The sequence below is a fragment of the Homo sapiens genome, chromosome 11 (genome assembly GCF_000001405.40).
Source record: "Homo sapiens chromosome 11, GRCh38.p14 Primary Assembly".
In the NCBI taxonomy this organism is placed as follows: Eukaryota; Metazoa; Chordata; class Mammalia; order Primates; family Hominidae; genus Homo; species Homo sapiens.
The window spans coordinates 111,433,293-111,449,224 of record NC_000011.10 but is presented as its reverse complement, the minus strand read 5'-3'; the positions used below and the strand labels follow the sequence as shown (position 1 = coordinate 111,449,224).

The window sequence follows — 15,932 nt, the reverse complement described above, 5'->3', positions numbered from 1 at the left end:
CCAGAAGACAAGGGCAGGGGCGGGGAAATGAGCAATAAACAGGGCAGGGGAGGAGTCAGGGGGAGACCAGCCTGTTCTGGTAAGGGTCTGGCTGGTGCTATCATTTCAATAAAAAAAGAGACTTGAGACATTCAGCAAAGGAAGAATTCACATGCACATTTGTTGGCTTGCAGAGAACGTTCAAGTTGGAAGGGCTTGGGCTAGGATGTGTTTTGGAAGTGATCGTGGCAAAAAGCAACATAAAGTCTGTCATTTTCTTGGAGAAGGCGAGCCAGATTTAGCAAATGAAAACACAGGTCACCCAGTTAAATTTGAATTTTAGACAATTTTTTTTTTGGGTATAACTATGTCCCATGCAAGACTAAAAAAAAGTTTGTTATTTATCTGAAATTCAAGTTTAACTGGGTACCCTGTATTTTATCTGGCAACCCTATCCCCAAGTCACTTGGAAACCTGAGCCAACCCTGGTCAAGTTACACCTGAGCCGAGTTTGACTTGAGACCAAAACAGTCCTGGAAACGCAGCCTGTCCTTGGGCCCCCCTGCCAGAGGACATACTTGGAACACTCGCCCAGGCCCCCGGCAGACACACGTGTCCTTGCCCTTCTCTGGCTGGGTGGCCTCTGAGCCACAGGGGAAACAGGCATCCTGGCCGGGCCAGGGGTTGAAGAACCTGGGAGGGCAGAGGTGGCAGAAGGAGGCATTGTGGGGTCCTGCTCCGGACAGGAAAGTTCCCGGGGGACAGGGAGCAGGTGGTGAGTTAGGACAGAGACTACCTGTAGGGGGACAGCCATGCAGTAATTAGGACTAAGACTTAGCTTCCAGGAGCGGTGGGTCACCCACGATCCCACAGGGGCACAAGTGGACCCCTGACAGTGCTCTTCTCCCATTAGGGGGCTTCTGAGCCCTAGCCCAGCCCAGGTGTCTCATAAAGCCAGCATCTTCCCCCAGAGCTGTTTTTCTGTTCCCCACTCCTCAACTATACCCCCAGCTCCTACCCTCTCTGCATCCTGGTGGGTCTCGCTCTTCTTTTGCACGAGGCGTCTCATTCCCGCAGTCCTGAGGGTTCTCTGTGCTCAGGCATGTGGCACTCTGGAGGGCATGGCAGAAGACAGCTATGGAAGCCCATGTCACTGGGGTGCCCTCAAAGGGGAGCATCCTCACCCTTGGGTGGGGTGACAGTGGCAGAGAGAGAGGTAGGCATAGAAGTAAGAGGGTGGACAGATGCTGAGAAAGACCGCTGGGGAGGCAGATGGAGAGTTAGAAGGCAGCAAAGCACAGAGGCCCAGTGCCAGCAACACTATGAGAAAACAAGATGAGGGTGGCGGTACAGGAGAGGCACAGGGACAAGTGGACCCAGGATCCCAACTCAGAGAGAAATGCCCAGGAAGGGCAGCCTCTGCCACCCATGGGAGCTCCGGGATGCACTCACTGAATATTTCATGAGGATGAAATCTAAGATATGGATCCTCTGAGCAGCTTTGGCCCAGACAACTTAAGTGTCTCCACTCTCTTTTTCCTACCTCCCTGTCTTCCGGGAACCTTCCTCTCCGGAGGAATGCCTCCATCTGCCGCCTCTGCTCTCCACGGTTCTTCTCTATCTCCTATCTCCTTTTCCTTCCTAGAGAAGCTGGTGGGGTGTGTGTGCATGCGTGTGCATAACTGGGCTTAGTGAGGGCAAGGGACATCTCAGTTCCCTTCTTCTGCAAGGCAAAGCCAGCCAGATTCCTTTAAGTACTCTCCGTGTGTGAAATGCTGCAGGAGAGATGCAAAGGAAATAAAACCCGAGGCTTCTGCCTTTGGTGCGTGTACAGCCAGGTTTCAGAGACCCATATGGTTTTAGCTTTAGAAAGGATGTTGGAGATTATTTAGTTCTCTTCTCCCAGTTTATAAAGAAGACTGCGGTCCAGAAAGACTGAAAATTCAGGCAACCAGTCAAGTGCTCTTAAAGAATATGCATACCCAGAAAAACTGGAAACTGTAAAACTGCCAGTGAATCCTTGGATAACCACATGATGTATCGGATAAAGCATTCAGCAGGTGGTGGAGAGAAAGGCTCAGGTCCTGGCCTTGTCATTAATTACTTTTCAAAAGGGCAGAGGTGGCAGAAGGAGGCGTTGTAGGGTCCTGCTCCAGAGAGGAAAGTTCCCGGGGCACAGGGAGCAGGTGGTGAGTTGTGACAGAGACTACCTGTGGGGGGACAGCCACGCAGTAATTAGGACTAAGACTTAGCTTCCAGGAGCTACATTCTTTTTTTGTAGTAAGTCTTTCAAATCCAGAGTGCATTTGGATATGCAGCATATCTCAGCTTGTAGTAGCCCCATTTCAAGTGCTCAGTAGCCATAGGTGGCTGGTGGTTACCATAATGTTCAGCACAGGCTGACTTCCTCCCACAAAGCCACTTCTCTTCTGGGTGTTCCAGGCCCTTGAGTGTCCTTCCCTGCACATCTCAGTCATCTGCTTTGCCTTTGTTTGTCCAGATGGTGGCACTGTGAGCTTGCAGGAAGTGGTGAGCAGGGCGTGGAGGAGTCCAGTGGAAGGAGAAGAGGAAATGCTGTTGCAGGGGAGGATGTGTGTGTGTGTGTGTGTGTGTGTGTGTGTTTATTGGTGTCATGATCTTAATTATTTTTTATAGGAAGTAAGATTAGCATCTGTGTAATGTTTTGCAACAATTCCAAAACGTTCCTGTCCCTGCCAATCACCTGAGGATCTTTTAAAGACAGAGATTCTGATTCAACAGTATGGGTGATCTGGGGTGGGGCCCAAGATTCTGCCTTTCTAAGAAGCTCTCAGTGAAGGCTGACCTCATTGGACCATGCTTTCAGTATCAAAGTTTTGCGAGGAACTTTGATATGCACCACGCTTTTTGGTACTCACAACTACCTTGTGAGATTGACATTGTAATGAACCCCACTTATTGTGTTAAGAAATGGAGAAACAAAAAGATGAAATCACTTGCCTAAGATCATACCAGTAATAGGAGGTGAGGCCAGGGTAGAGCCCAGGTATTCTTGCTCTGAAGCCTGTTCGCTCCATACCAATCACATACATTTCCCAGGTAGTAGAAAGTAGGTTCACGTTGTCAACCTTCCTTCTGCTCTGGGTAGGTAGGTGGGAAAGCTTCCTACTGCTCTGAGGTCTTAAGGGATGTTCTGTAACCTTGTGGTCTCTCTATCCTGTTTCTATTATAATCATGGCCATTAGCTCTCTGCACTTCTCCTCCCTTCTGTGAAATCCATCTCAAAGGTAACTTCTTACCTGGTGAGTGGGACAAGGAGGTTGTACTTGGCTGGTGAAAGGTCCTGGGGGCCTAAGTAGGTTCAGATTACTCCAACTGGCGAGAGTAGTAGAGCTGGAAGGGATCCTAGGGGCTGTGTCCTTCAGCTCTTTTATTTTGTGGATGAAGAAACTCAGACCCAGAGGGAGGAAGTGTCTTGTCCTGAGTCAACACAAGACAAGATGGAAAATTCCCACAAGGTCAGGTCACTGGACAGGATTTCTAGGAATGGCAAACCGGAAAAGACTAAAATAGAGTTCAGGTTGCTTTTCAGGTTGAAGTTTAAATTAAAAATCAGATCCTAATTAGAGAACAATTGTTCTCTGCTTTGAAATGTCCTGCCTCAGAGCCTTTAGCAATTGGGGATATGTTGGGCCTAGAATGTGGCAAAATACTTAATGAACCTCTTTCCTAGGCTCAGTCCTGTGGGAATACAGAGGACTGCCCTTATAGGGCCACGTATATAACAAAGGAGGGCACGATGAAAGATGTGGAACTGAGCTGTGTGACAGCCCACACAGGCTGAAAAGGCTCAGAGGATCCCCGGACCCTGTTGGCACGATACACAATAGGAGTGGAGGTATAGATGCTGGAGGCTTTGCTGTGAATCCAGCCTCAAGGAGGTAATGCCACTAGTCTTCCTTCCTGCATGAACTCCCAGACTGCATTAACTGCTGGATTAGGGAAGGGAGCGTGTTCATTCCAACATCTCATTTTAAAGATGAGGAAACTGAGGCTCAGAGAGGTTTGGGATTTTCACAAGGTCACATAACTGGTTGATGGCAGAATGAGGGCAAGTCCCCAATACCCATCAGTAATTTCCTCACAGTACTGTACCACGAGGGCAACCTTAACCTTAGCACGGTACCATGAGGGTAGCCGTTGGGCTCCCCATCTCTCTTCTTCGCCACTGCTTCTTCTATCCCCTCACCAATATCTATTGTCTTTGTCCTCTAAGGCTTATGTCCTATTTGTCCCGTTTGACAGAGAAGGTTATGGTTTTCAAAAACAAACTTTCTTGGTTGACCGTTGCCTTGGAGAGAGCCTGACCACTCCCCTGCCTCTCACAGAGGAATCCCCCACGCCAGCTTTTACTGCTGCGCTCTCCTGCCTTTCTTTCCTAACGTCTTCAGCCACCCTCTTTCCACCATTCCTTTTTCTGTTGCCTTTCATCCAGTTCTGAAAAAAATCTCATTTGATTCCCTTACCTCTTCTTCTACTTTTTAATTTTTATTTTTTAAATTTTTGTAGGTACATAGTAGGTGTATATATTTATGGGGTATTATGTATTAAAACATCTCATGTGTCAAAAAACATATCCTTTGAGTTACCAACAATTCAATAACAATCTTTAAGTTAGTTTAAAATGTGCAATGAAGTTATTATCGACTATAGTCACCCTGTTGTGCTATCAAATAGTAGGTCTTATTCATTCTTTCTATTTGTTTTGGTACCCATTAACCATCCCCACCTTCCCTCCCAGCCCCCCACTACTCTTCCCAGCATCGGGTAACCATCCTTCTACTCTCTATGTCCATGAATTCAATTGTTTTGATCTTTAGATTCCACAAATAAGTGAGACATTGCCTCTTAGGACTCTCCTGTTTCTTTTCCTTTCTCTCCTATGTCTTCTCTCCCCTCCCCTCCCCTGCCTTCCCCTCCCCTTCTCTCCTCTTCCCTCCCTCTCCTCTCCTCTCTCTCTGTCTCTCAGTCACACATACATACACACACTGTCTCTACACACACACACACACACACACACACACCCCTCAGGGTAGTGGTTTGAATTAATTACACTCAGTTCATGGAACATTGTCATTGCTGGTGTGGTTTGGGCAGGAAACTTCTCCTATTTTGTTCATTTATTTTTCTCCATTTATTCTTATTTCCATCTCCCCATAAAAAATAATTCTGTTAAACCAAATGTGTGTCTGTGAGTTCCTGCAAAGCAGGCATCGTTTAGGCACATGTCCGTTTTAAATGCTTGCAGAGGTGGTTGTGCTGTCTCACCCTGGTTTCTTACTCCCCACTCTGCACTGTTTTAAATACTCACCTGTGTTGCTAAGCGTCCTCGAGCTGGAGGCTTCTAAGTGAGGCTTCCTGCTTCATCTATGCCCATACCTAAAGACCACGCTTTCTGATTGCTGCCCTACACTTGTTGCACCCAGGTCCTCGTCCTGTTGCCCCCAGCTGTCTGACTTTCACTGTATCCCCAAACTGCCTTCTCTCAGGACCCTGGCAGTGCCCCCGGGATGTCACTTTCAGTTCTGATTTTACCTGACTTTCCACTGGTCTGACAGGTGGGGGACGACTTAATTTCCATGATCCCAAAGTCCCTTTTGTCTCTCTTTTTTTTCCCTCTGTTTTTAAGTTATGTAAGTTTTTCCTAGAATGTGCTGATATTTTTTTGAAAAACTTTATTTTTTAAGAACAGTTTTAGATTTACAGAAAAATTTCAAAAGATAGTACAGTGTTCTCATATACCTCACACCCAGCTTCTTCTCTTATTAACTGCTTACATTAATATGGTACATTTGTTATAATTAATGAACCAATACATTATTATTAACTGAAACCCATACTTTGTTCTGATTTCCTTAGTTTTACCTATTGTCTTTTTCTGTTCCAGGACCACATATGACATCCAGTCATCATGTCTGCTTTGCCTACTCTCAGTTGAGAGAATTTCTCAAATTTTCCTTGTTTTTGATGACCTTGACAGTTTTGAGGAATGTTGGTCAGATATTTTGTAGAATGTTCCTCAGTTAGGATTTATCTGATGTTTTTCTAACGCTTGGACTGGAGGTGTGGGTTTTTGAGAGGAAGACCACAGAGGCAAGGTGCCATTTTCATCACGTTGTATGAAGGGTACATGCAATCAACATGATGTATCACTGTTGGTGTTGACCTTGATCACCTGGCTGAGGTAGCGTTGGCCAGGTTTCCTCCACTGTAGAGGTTACTCTTTTTCCCTTTCCACACTATGCTCATTGGAAGAAAATCACTATGTACAGCCCACACTTAAGGAGTGGGCAGTTGCCTTATCCCTCCCCGAGGGTGGAATTAAGTTATTTGAAATTAACGTAAGTTAATCGAATGCAAGTTATTTGAGATTCTTCTGCATGTGAGATTTGTTGCTTCTTCATTTTTATTTATTCACGTGAACATTTATTTATATCAATATGGACTTATAGGTATTCATTTCATACTTTAGATTTAGATAGAGAGTTTTTTTTTTTCCCTGTCTTTCAAAATGATCCAGTGCTGGTTGTTGTGAGCTCTGCCAGTGGGCTACGGGGTCCTTTGGACATACCTCATGATTGTGGGTTGTTGTTGTTGTTGTTGTTGTTTTTCGAGTACTTCCTTATATTTTTGGCACTATAAGATGCCCCAGGCTCATCTGGTGTGTGTGTGTGTGTGTGTGTGTGTGTGTGTGTATACATTTTTTTTGAAACAATCTTACTCTGTCATGCAGGCTGGAGTGCAGTGACTCGATCTTGGCTCACTGCAACCTCCACCTCCCTGGCTCAAGTGATTCTCTTGCCTCGACCTCCTGAGTAGCTGGGACTACAGCTGTGCACCACCATGCCTGGCTAATTTTTTGTATTTTTATAGAAATGGGGTTTCACCATGTTGGCCAGGCTGGTCTCAAACTCCTGACCTCAAGTGATCCACCTGCCTCGACCTCCCAAATTGCTGGGATTACAGACGTGAGCCACCGCACCTGATCTCATCTCGTATATTTCCTGTCCCCGTCCTAGAATTGGCCATATCCCCAAGGAGTTCTGGTTCCTTTTTATTGGAGAATGTTATTAGAAACCAAAGTCTGGGTGTTAGCTATGCTCTGGTCTCTTATGTTCAACTCACTTTTCTTTCTTTTTTTGTTTTTTGAGATGGAGTCTTGCTCTGTCACCCAGGCTGGAGTACACTGGTGCGATCTCGGCTCACTGCAACCTCCTCCTCCCGGGTTCAAGTGATTCTCATGCTTCAGCCTCCTGAGTAGCTGGGATTATAGGCATGCACCACCATGCCTGGCTAATTTTTGTATTTTTAGTAGAGATGGGGTTTCACCATGTTGGCCAGACTAGTCTTGAACTCCTTACCTCAAGTGATCTGCCTGCCTCAGCCTCTCAAGGTGCTGGGATTACAGGCGTGAGCCACCATGCCCGGCCCAACTCGCTTTGCTTTTCCCTTTCTGTTAATGCTTCTGTCCCCTGCCCGTCAACCATGGGGGTTTCCCAGGATTAGTCACACATTCAAGTCAATAACAAGGAGTTCTTACCCTGTACAAGAACTTCATGAGATCAAAAGCGAGGCACAGTCACGGAGTTTATAGTCAGGCGTGGGAGAGGCATGGATATATTATAAACAGCCCAAGAGCAGACAAGGACAGAGAAGTCAATCCGTAAGGCATCTCTAAGGAACTCATGACTAATTCAGACTGTGGGATCTGGGAAGTCTCTGAGCTGAGAGTTGAAAGAAGAAGGGTGGTGTATTCTCTGTGGTCTGTTCCCAAGCCCATAAAATCTCCCTTGACTCTGGTGCTCAAGGAGCCATCTCTCTCTCGGAGGAGCCGCTGCTGATGCTCTAGTTTGCTTCTCTCTTCCTTCTCAATACTCCTTCCTTCCTGTGGGAACATGAGCAGACCCTGTTCTCTCCCCTACTCCCCAGAGCCCTGAGATATTACATTATGAGATTTTCTTTGCTAATATTTTATTTCTTAAGTTAGGTTGTGGGTACATGGGTGTTTATTATTGTATTCTTCATTCCTTTTTGTATGGCTTGCATATTTCATAATAACATTTGAAATGTATTTGTGAAAAAAAAAAAAAAGAAAAGAGAGCGGTCTCTGGCCCTGGCCTGTGTGACCTTGTGCCCTCACTCCAGGAACCAAGACTCTGCCAGATGACTGCCACTCCCAGCCTAAGCCTGGGAAAGTGCAGCTGGTCTGGGCCAGATGGGTCTGCGGGTGCCTGTCTGACCAGGTATTGCATACATGTTGATGTGACTCAGTACCTAAGTGGTGTGGCAGATAGTCACCTATCCCCTCCTCACTCTCCTTGTCCCCTCATCTCCATGACCCACCTCTGACTTCTGTAGAGTCTCAGAGCTGCAACATAGTGACAACCCTTCTCTACAGCAGGTGCTTGTTGCTGGTGCCATTCTGCAAGGGCTGGATGGGACAAGTCTGGGGCATTCCCCCTGTCTTGGGGCAGCATCTTCGCCTCAGCACTGACCTGACTCAAGCTTCCTTATCTCCCATCTAAAGCTATCTGTGAACAAAAATCTGAAAAGGGCAGATCTAGGTCTGGCAGCAACTGAGAAAAACCAAAGTTCCTGCCAACAGCCAAGGTAGGTAAGAGGCAGGCCAAACGGGGTCAAATGGGGACACCGCCCAGGGGTAGGATGTTGGTTTGAGTCTCTGGGGAAAGAATGGAAAGGATGTCAGCTCCTAGTACATGCAGGCTGGTAACTGTGATGTTCTATTTGCAAGGATAGGTTATTTAGACATTGGGACCAGGAAACTCTGTCTCTGAACTAGTTACAGGGGCTGGTGGCTTCTGAAAAGACCTCTTTAGCTGGTGTGACAGATTAAAGATGTTGCAATTTCTTTTCTTTTGAATCTGCTTGACTAATAGAATGTAGCAGAAGTGAGATTCTGGGATTTTAGAGCCTAGGTCATGTGAAGGCTTGAAGCTTCTGCAGAGTTCTTTTGGGACACTCTCTCTGGGAGCCTTGATCTGCTAGGCTGGAGAGGCCATGTGCAGGCCCTTTGCTCAACAGTCCCAGCTGAGCCAAGCCTTTTAGCCATACTCACTAAGTCACCAGCCATGAAAATGAAACCATCTTAGATCCCAGATCACAGAGTAACCCCAGCCAATGCCAACAGAGCAGACTTACCCAGCTGAGCCCTGAACAGGTTTCTGAACTACAGCACTGTGAGATAAAATAAAACAACCGTTGTCTTAGGCTGCTAAGTTTTGAGATTGTTTGCTACACAAAAACAGATAACCAAGATGGCTGGGGCACCCCTATTCAGGCCACCAGTTCAATGACCAACTTCCAATTCCCGCATCAATATGAGAGATGGAGGATCATGGCTCATTCTCAAAATGACCGGGCGGAGGAGCTGGAGCCAAAACGTAAAGTGCTGAGCATGTCTTTGAAAGGGTCTTCTAGAGGCTCTTTGCTTGGGATGGCTCTATGACTCCTATAGGTGAAGTGCTGAAGTAAATAGGAAAACTGACCTAGGAATGGCCTCCAGATGATGAGGCAAAGTGTGCAGAAACTGAGAGGGGGTGTGAGTCTGGGAGGGGAAGTACGAGGGGGCTGGACGGCATCTGGAAGAGGAAGGTCCTGAGAGACACATAGGAGGGAGCTGGGTTCTGGGAGGAGGACTTGGGGATGAATGTTTCTGTAAGGGAAGTAGAGGGCGGTGGGGGGCACCGAGAGTACAGGCAGCCTTGAGCTGGTGTCTGGCCAAGGGTTGTAGCAGTCCTTGGGCTGGTGTCTTCTCCTGCTCCATCTGCGGCTGTGCTGGGCTCTCTTTAAAGAGCCCTTCTGGGCATCCAGATGAGCTCACACAAACAGTGCAGGTGCAGGTCTGGCCCGTAAACCACAACAACTGGGGCCTGTGCTGCCACAATGCGCTGGGCAAAGCCTCCAGAGGGGGAGAAAGGGTGACTATTTGTTTAGCATCATCAGCAAGAGTTCCAGAACCCATCAAAAGCAAAGCAGAAACTTTTGTATTAAGGAGATTAAACTTTAAACTCAGCTGAGAAGGCTCTGCTGTTTGAGTGGCTTTGTTGTGCCTGGCATTGTGTGATTATATGCAAATCACCAGGAAGCCTCCCTGGGGTCCCAACCGCAGAGGCTTAGCTGCCCAGCGGGTGGGTGTGCGGGACAGGGGGCAGCCCACGTGCTAGTCAGGTAACACCCAGTACCCAGGCCGGGGCAGCCTGCTTTCCCTTAAGTTCAGGGAATTGGGGATTTGAAAATATGTTTAATGTGTTGGCCAGAGATTTCTGGTGGATGGATAGGACAGCAGGGACAGAGGTGCCACCGGGAAGGTATAAATGGAAACCTAAGACAGTGTCCAGTTAGGACGGGGGAGGTTCACATATCCAGGGACCCCCTGACCACATCACGCCTTCTTTAGCATCCTCTCTTTTGAAGCTTAGGGTAATGTATGGGGTCACCAAGGAGATGAGGAAATGTTTTGGTTTTCCTGTGGCCATTCAGAATAAGGACTTGGGAGGATTATCCTGAGTTTATTGATCCAGAAAATGTTTAATGTTTACTCTTGGCAAGGTGCAGAGCTAGGTGCTGGCGGTGGTGGGTGAGAATGGAGATGAATAAAATGTCTCTGTTGTTGAGGAGTTTACAGAGAAGATGTTTACCCAGATAACTAAAATACCTGGCAACATTTGGTAAGCGCTGGGGGAAATGGCCCATGAGAGTGCCTGGCTTTGGACAGAGGCTAACTGAAGGGGTCGAGGAAGGTTTCACAGAGAAAGAACAGAGTCAGGCCAGAGGTGGAGGCTGCATGAGCCAAGGAATTCCTGTTGAGAAGGGCAGGGTGCAGGCTGGCTGTGTGCCCTGGCTCACATGGTGTCTCAGGGGCTGTGGGGAAGACAGATTGTGCATATTGGGGCCCAAGTTCCAGGCTAGAATTTGGCCCACACAAATTGGAGTCAGATGTCTAACCCACAAAGTTAGGTCTAGGGACTCTGGGACCCCGTGTCAGCACTTGCAGAACTGCCATCAGGGTGACACCAGAGACCTCTGTGTCCCGTCTGTTGATGCCTCTGTGGCTGCCCTGGCAGCCCCCTTCCCCTCTTCCTTTAAGCAGCATCTACAACTGCTTCTCAGCCCTTAATAACAGGGTCAGCTTGGACATCTCCAAGGCTCTACTTCCTGGTGGGTGTAGAATGTTGTCTAGTATAGTCAGAGTCATAGCTGTCAGTTCCCCTCTGCTTGGGGGGCTATGGGCCTGGCTGGGGTCCTGCAGATCTGGGTTGAGGATGAGAGTGGAATGAGCTTGGTCCTTGGGCTATTAGACATGTTGAGGATAGAGATCATTAAAGATATGACCAGGGCTGAAAAGAAAACCCAGGAAGGCTGAGTAGCTAAGCTATCAACACGAGAAACTGGGCAGAGTAGCAGAAGCAAGTAAGAGACCCCAGGATGGAAACTGCAGAGTGTCGCCTAGGAGTGGAGGGAAGAGCCTGCTCCTGAGCTGCTGGGTAGTGGTGGGGATGCAATGGGGATACAGGTGGGGGTCTAGGCACTCGCTGTTGTAGCTCTAGCCTCAGGCAAGGCGGTGAGGATGCTCAGAGGCTCTCCGGCCCCTCCAGCCTTCAGTGGCTGGTTCACTGGCATTGGCCTAACCTTCTTGCAGAGGGAGCCACACCAGTCCTCAAGTTGAGCACAGCTCTTGGGCCCAGATTGGAGCATGGTGATTTGGGAATGAGAAACAATAGCTTTAGAAATTGAGAAACTCCATCCCTTTCCAGCATCCCCCTCATCCCCCAACCCAGTTCCTGGCAGGAGTCCCTGGACTCATCTGGGGTTTTTCAGGGGTGGTAAAAACTGAGGGTCATTTTTGCTGAGGAGTTCTGAGCACTGGAGGAGGAGAATGATCTCCTCCATTCCACAGATCAATACACTCCTCCCGTTTTGCAGGAAGCTTCTGGGAGCAGGGGGTCTCTGGGCTCTGAGGGGGTGTAGTGGATGGAAGCCAAAGAAAAAATTGCTCTTTGGAACACCGTGTCCTGTGCCCTGTCAGAGGAGCAGATGTTCTTCTGAGGGTGGGGGCTGCTGGGGGCTGCAGCAGGTTGGGAGCCAGGCAGGAAGAGTTCCAGATGATGAGGGAGTTGAAAGGAATTTTATAAAGATATTGTCTGCGACTTGGGTTGGATAAAAGTCTCCGCAGACAGGGCTGTTCACCTGCTAGGCTTTTGTTCTGCCCTGCAGCGTCTGCTTGCCACACAGCCCCAGGGCAGGGTGATGGTGGGGCGGGGTGATGGTGGGGAGGGCATGCTGTCTGCCATCTGCCGGAGAAATACAACAAACACCCACACGCGAGCCAACGGAAACTCTCAGCAAAACAAACGGCGCTCGCTCGAGGGCGCCTTGCCTGGGTGTGTGGACTGGAGGGGCAGGCGCGGGAAGGTGAAGGGGCACCTGCCGGGGGAGGGGCTGGGCTAGCCGCCTGCCCCTGGGCCAGCAAGGTCAGGTACGGTCTGCACCCATGTCTGCCTGGACCCCTCAGGCCTGTTAGGTGAAAGCCCTTCTTTTGTTTTTTTTTTTTCTTTTTTTGAGACGGAGTTTTGCTCTCGTTGCCCAGGCTGGAGTGCAATGGTGAGATCTCGGCTCACTGCCATCTCCGTCTCCCAGATTCAAGCGATTCTCTCTGCCTCAGCCCCCTGAGTAGCTGGAATTACAGGCGCCCACTACCACGCCCAGCTAATTTTTGTATTTTTAGTAGAGATGGGGTTTTGCCATGTTTGCCAGGCTAGTCTTGAACTCCTGACCTCAGGTGATCCACCCATCTCAGCTTCCCAAAGTGCTGGGAGTGCTGGGATTACAGGCGTGAGCCACTGTGCCTGTCCAAAAGTCCCCCATTTATCCAGTTGCCAGGTCTAAAAAGCCAGGAGTTACAAAGCTGGAGGTGGTCGTCACCAGTTCTATTGATCACCAAATTCAGATAATCAGGGTGCTGGATTTGCAGCTACTGATCGAGGGTGAAATGAAGAGTAAGACGGATTGGGCTCAAGACCTGACTTAGCCATTTCTGTAGACACTTCTGTGAGCCCCTTGCTTCCTTATGTTTAAAATGGGGTGATAATAATGGCTAACCTGGGAAGTTGTTATGAGAATGGAAATAATATCTTTCAAAAGTACTTTGCAAAAATATATCTGGTGGTTATTAACATTTTCTTTGTGGCTCTGGGTATTTGCTTCTGGCTTTGTGACATGCAGAACTCTTCTGCGGGGGAGGTCCTCAGCCTGGGTGAAGAGCATTTGGGAAATCGTGCAGCTTGTGGGGCTTGTGAGCATAAACCTTGGACTTACAGCTGGGCTCTGAGGCCCAGGTCAGTGAGGAAAGTGGGAGCTGAGATGGCTTAGGGCGGGTGGGGTGGAGTTGTGTTTGATTGCATGGTAACACTAAATATCTGGCTGTGGCCTCACCCTGGGGGGTTGAGGGCTGGGCTATAGATCTTCCCCAACATCTCTGCTCCCCTTGGGGATCTACGTTTCCCCCTTTCCCCAGAATCCACAGTGAGTGGCAGTGGGCACGAGTGTCCACAAACCTGTTGGGACAGGGTAGGCAGCTTGTTTGCTCTTCCCAGGGCCAAGCCTGGTGGGCTGGACCCAGAAGTATTATGTTACTCAGCCAAAGAATTCCTTTCCTCGCCTGCCTCCATTTATAAAGGGGAAACAAAACCCTGAGCGGTATGCTTTCGTGGTGCCAAGCCAAGTCCTCAAGTGTCATCTCTGGGGAGCTGCCTCCTCCCCAGGGCAGGGTGCAGCCTCCTGGGGAAACAGCAGCCCTTCTTTCTCCTTCCCACCCGTGGCGGTGGTGGCGGTGGTGTCCCCACTTACCCTCAAGAGACCTTGGATTCTCTCTCACTACCCCCGAGTGCTTTCCATATCCAGGTCTGAGCCCTTGAGAGTGGGGCAGGGCTTGTGGCTTCCCTTGGCCCAGTGGAGAACGGGACAGGGTTGCTGGGTGTCTGTCTCAGTTCCAGCTGGTGCTAGTGTACTCTGGCCAACAGAACCACCAAACACATCTTCTGTTTGCTTTGAGAACTTGAGATGGATTTTAGATCCTCCAGGGCACGTACTGCTACACTTCAGAGTTCTGGCCAGAACCGGGCAGCCCTGGGGAAGCCTGCACCAGTGCTGGGCCGGCCCTTCCGAGTTGTGTCTTGCTGGAGAGTCCCAGGGCCAGGTGAGGTCTGAACTTTAGAGGCTTGTCAGGTGAGATCTTATTCTGCAGCCAGCGCTGGGATGGCTGATGGAATAAGGGTCAGGCAGGATGAGTGAAAGGTGAGAGGTGTCAATGAAGGCATTGTTCAGGGCTTGGGCTGGGAAGGACCTCTGAGATTCCCTGCCCTCCTTATTTCTTCCTGGATGGGTGGTCCTCTTTCTATCTATAGGAAGAGGGATTGCCAGGAAACTTGGATTTGAGTCTGCCAATGCTACTAATTCACTACGGACAAACTTTTTTTTTTTTTTAAACAATTATTATACTATTTATTGTTTACCATAGATGGGTATATTTACATGGAGTACTTGATATGTATTATCTCACTTATTTATCACACCAACTCTTTTTTTTTAAAGTATAGTGGCTTTTATTTTTTTTAAAATTTATTATTATTTTTAAAATTATTATTATACTTTAAGTTCTAGGGTACATGTGCACAACGTGCAGGTTTGTTACATAGGTATACATGTGCCATGTTGGTTTGCTGCACCCATCAACTCATCATTTACATTAAGTATTTCTCCCAACGCTATCCCTCCCCGAGCCCTCCCACAACAGGCCCCAGTGTGGGATGTTCCCCTCCCTGTGTCCATGTGTTCTTATTGTTCAACTCCCACTTATGAGTGAGAACATGTGATGTTTGGTTTTCTGTCCTTGTGACAGTTTGCTGAGAATGATGATTTCCAGCTTCATCCATGTCCCTGCAAAGGGCATGAGTTCATCCTTTTTTTATGGCTGCATAGTATTCAATGGTGTATATGTGCCACATTTTCTTTATCCAGTCTATCATTGATGGACATTTGGGTTGGTTCCAAGTCTTTGCTATTGTGAATAGTGACACAATAAACATACGTGTGCATGTGTCTTTATAGTAGCATGATTTATAATCCTTTGGGTATATACCCAGTAATGGGATGGCTGGGTCAAATGGTATTTCTAGTTCTAGATCCCTGAGGAATCGCTACATTGTCTTCCACAATGGTTGAACTAATTTACACTCCCACCAACAGTGTGAAAGCATTCCTATTTTTCCACATCCTCTCCAGCATCTGTTGTTTCCTGACTTTTTAATGATCACCATTCTAACTGGCATGGGATGGTATCTCCCTGTGGTTTTGATTTGCATTTCTCTGATGACCAGTGATGAGCATTTTTTTCATATGCCTGTTGGCTACATAAATGTCTTCTTTTGAGACATGTCTGTTCATATCCTTTGCCCACTTTTTGATGGGGTTGTTTTTTTCTTGTAAATTTGTTTAAGTTCTTTGTAAATTCTGGATATTAGTCCTTTTGTCAGATGGATAGATTGCAAAAATTTTCTCCCATTCTGTAGGTTGCCTGTTCACTCTAATGATAGTTTCTTTTGCTGTGAAGAAGCTCTTTAGTTTAATTAGATCCCATTTGTCTATTTTGGCTTTTGTTGTCATTGCTTTTGGTGTTTTAGTCATGAAGTCTTTGCCTATGCCTATGTCCTGAATGGTGTTGCCTAGGTTTTCTTCTAGGGTTTTTATGGTTTTAAGTCTTACATTTAAGTCTTTAATCCATCTTGAGTTAATTTTTTTGTAAGGTGTAAGGAAGGGATCCAGTTTCAGCTTTCTACATATGGCTAGCCAGTTTTCCCAGCACCATTTATTAAATAGGGAATCCTTTCCCTGTTGCT

General features: G+C 47.7%; 1 protein-coding gene and 1 long non-coding RNA gene across 16 annotated transcripts in view, besides 5 other annotated features; one reads left to right on the top strand and one right to left on the bottom strand.

The window, feature by feature from the left end:
* BTG4 (BTG anti-proliferation factor 4) overlaps positions 1-15,932 on the top strand; it is a 130,900-nt gene that overhangs the window by 65,501 nt on the left and 49,467 nt on the right. The gene's annotated exons all lie outside the window — the stretch shown is intronic.
* Positions 581-3,361, bottom strand: LOC107984386 (uncharacterized). The gene is made up of 3 exons (XR_001748382.2): positions 3,258-3,361; positions 998-1,091; positions 581-672 (listed from the first exon to the last, which is right to left on the bottom strand). It is a non-coding gene; the product is annotated as an uncharacterized LOC107984386 (long non-coding RNA).
* Positions 2,394-2,573: an enhancer, noted in NCBI's record as "active region_5516". NCBI's record gives its function as "activates an Ori minimal core promoter by ATAC-STARR-seq in GM12878 lymphoblastoid cells {active_cell/tissue: GM12878}" and the evidence as "EXISTENCE:reporter gene assay evidence [ECO:0000049][PMID:35858748]".
* Positions 7,305-8,504: an enhancer, noted in NCBI's record as "BRD4-independent group 4 enhancer chr11:111311446-111312645 (GRCh37/hg19 assembly coordinates)". NCBI's record gives its function as "activates an origin of replication core promoter dependent on BRD2, P300/CBP, MED14 and CDK7 cofactors, and independent of BRD4, by STARR-seq in HCT116 cells {active_cell/tissue: HCT116}" and the evidence as "EXISTENCE:reporter gene assay evidence [ECO:0000049][PMID:35650434]".
* Positions 9,341-9,927: an enhancer, noted in NCBI's record as "H3K4me1 hESC enhancer chr11:111310023-111310609 (GRCh37/hg19 assembly coordinates)". NCBI's record gives its function as "activates a minimal SCP1, AML or CMV promoter by ChIP-STARR-seq in primed H9 embryonic stem cells {active_cell/tissue: H9 hESC(primed)}" and the evidence as "EXISTENCE:reporter gene assay evidence [ECO:0000049][PMID:30033119]".
* Positions 9,836-9,905: a silencer, noted in NCBI's record as "silent region_3897". NCBI's record gives its function as "represses an Ori minimal core promoter by ATAC-STARR-seq in GM12878 lymphoblastoid cells {active_cell/tissue: GM12878}" and the evidence as "EXISTENCE:reporter gene assay evidence [ECO:0000049][PMID:35858748]".
* Positions 9,926-9,975: a silencer, noted in NCBI's record as "silent region_3896". NCBI's record gives its function as "represses an Ori minimal core promoter by ATAC-STARR-seq in GM12878 lymphoblastoid cells {active_cell/tissue: GM12878}" and the evidence as "EXISTENCE:reporter gene assay evidence [ECO:0000049][PMID:35858748]".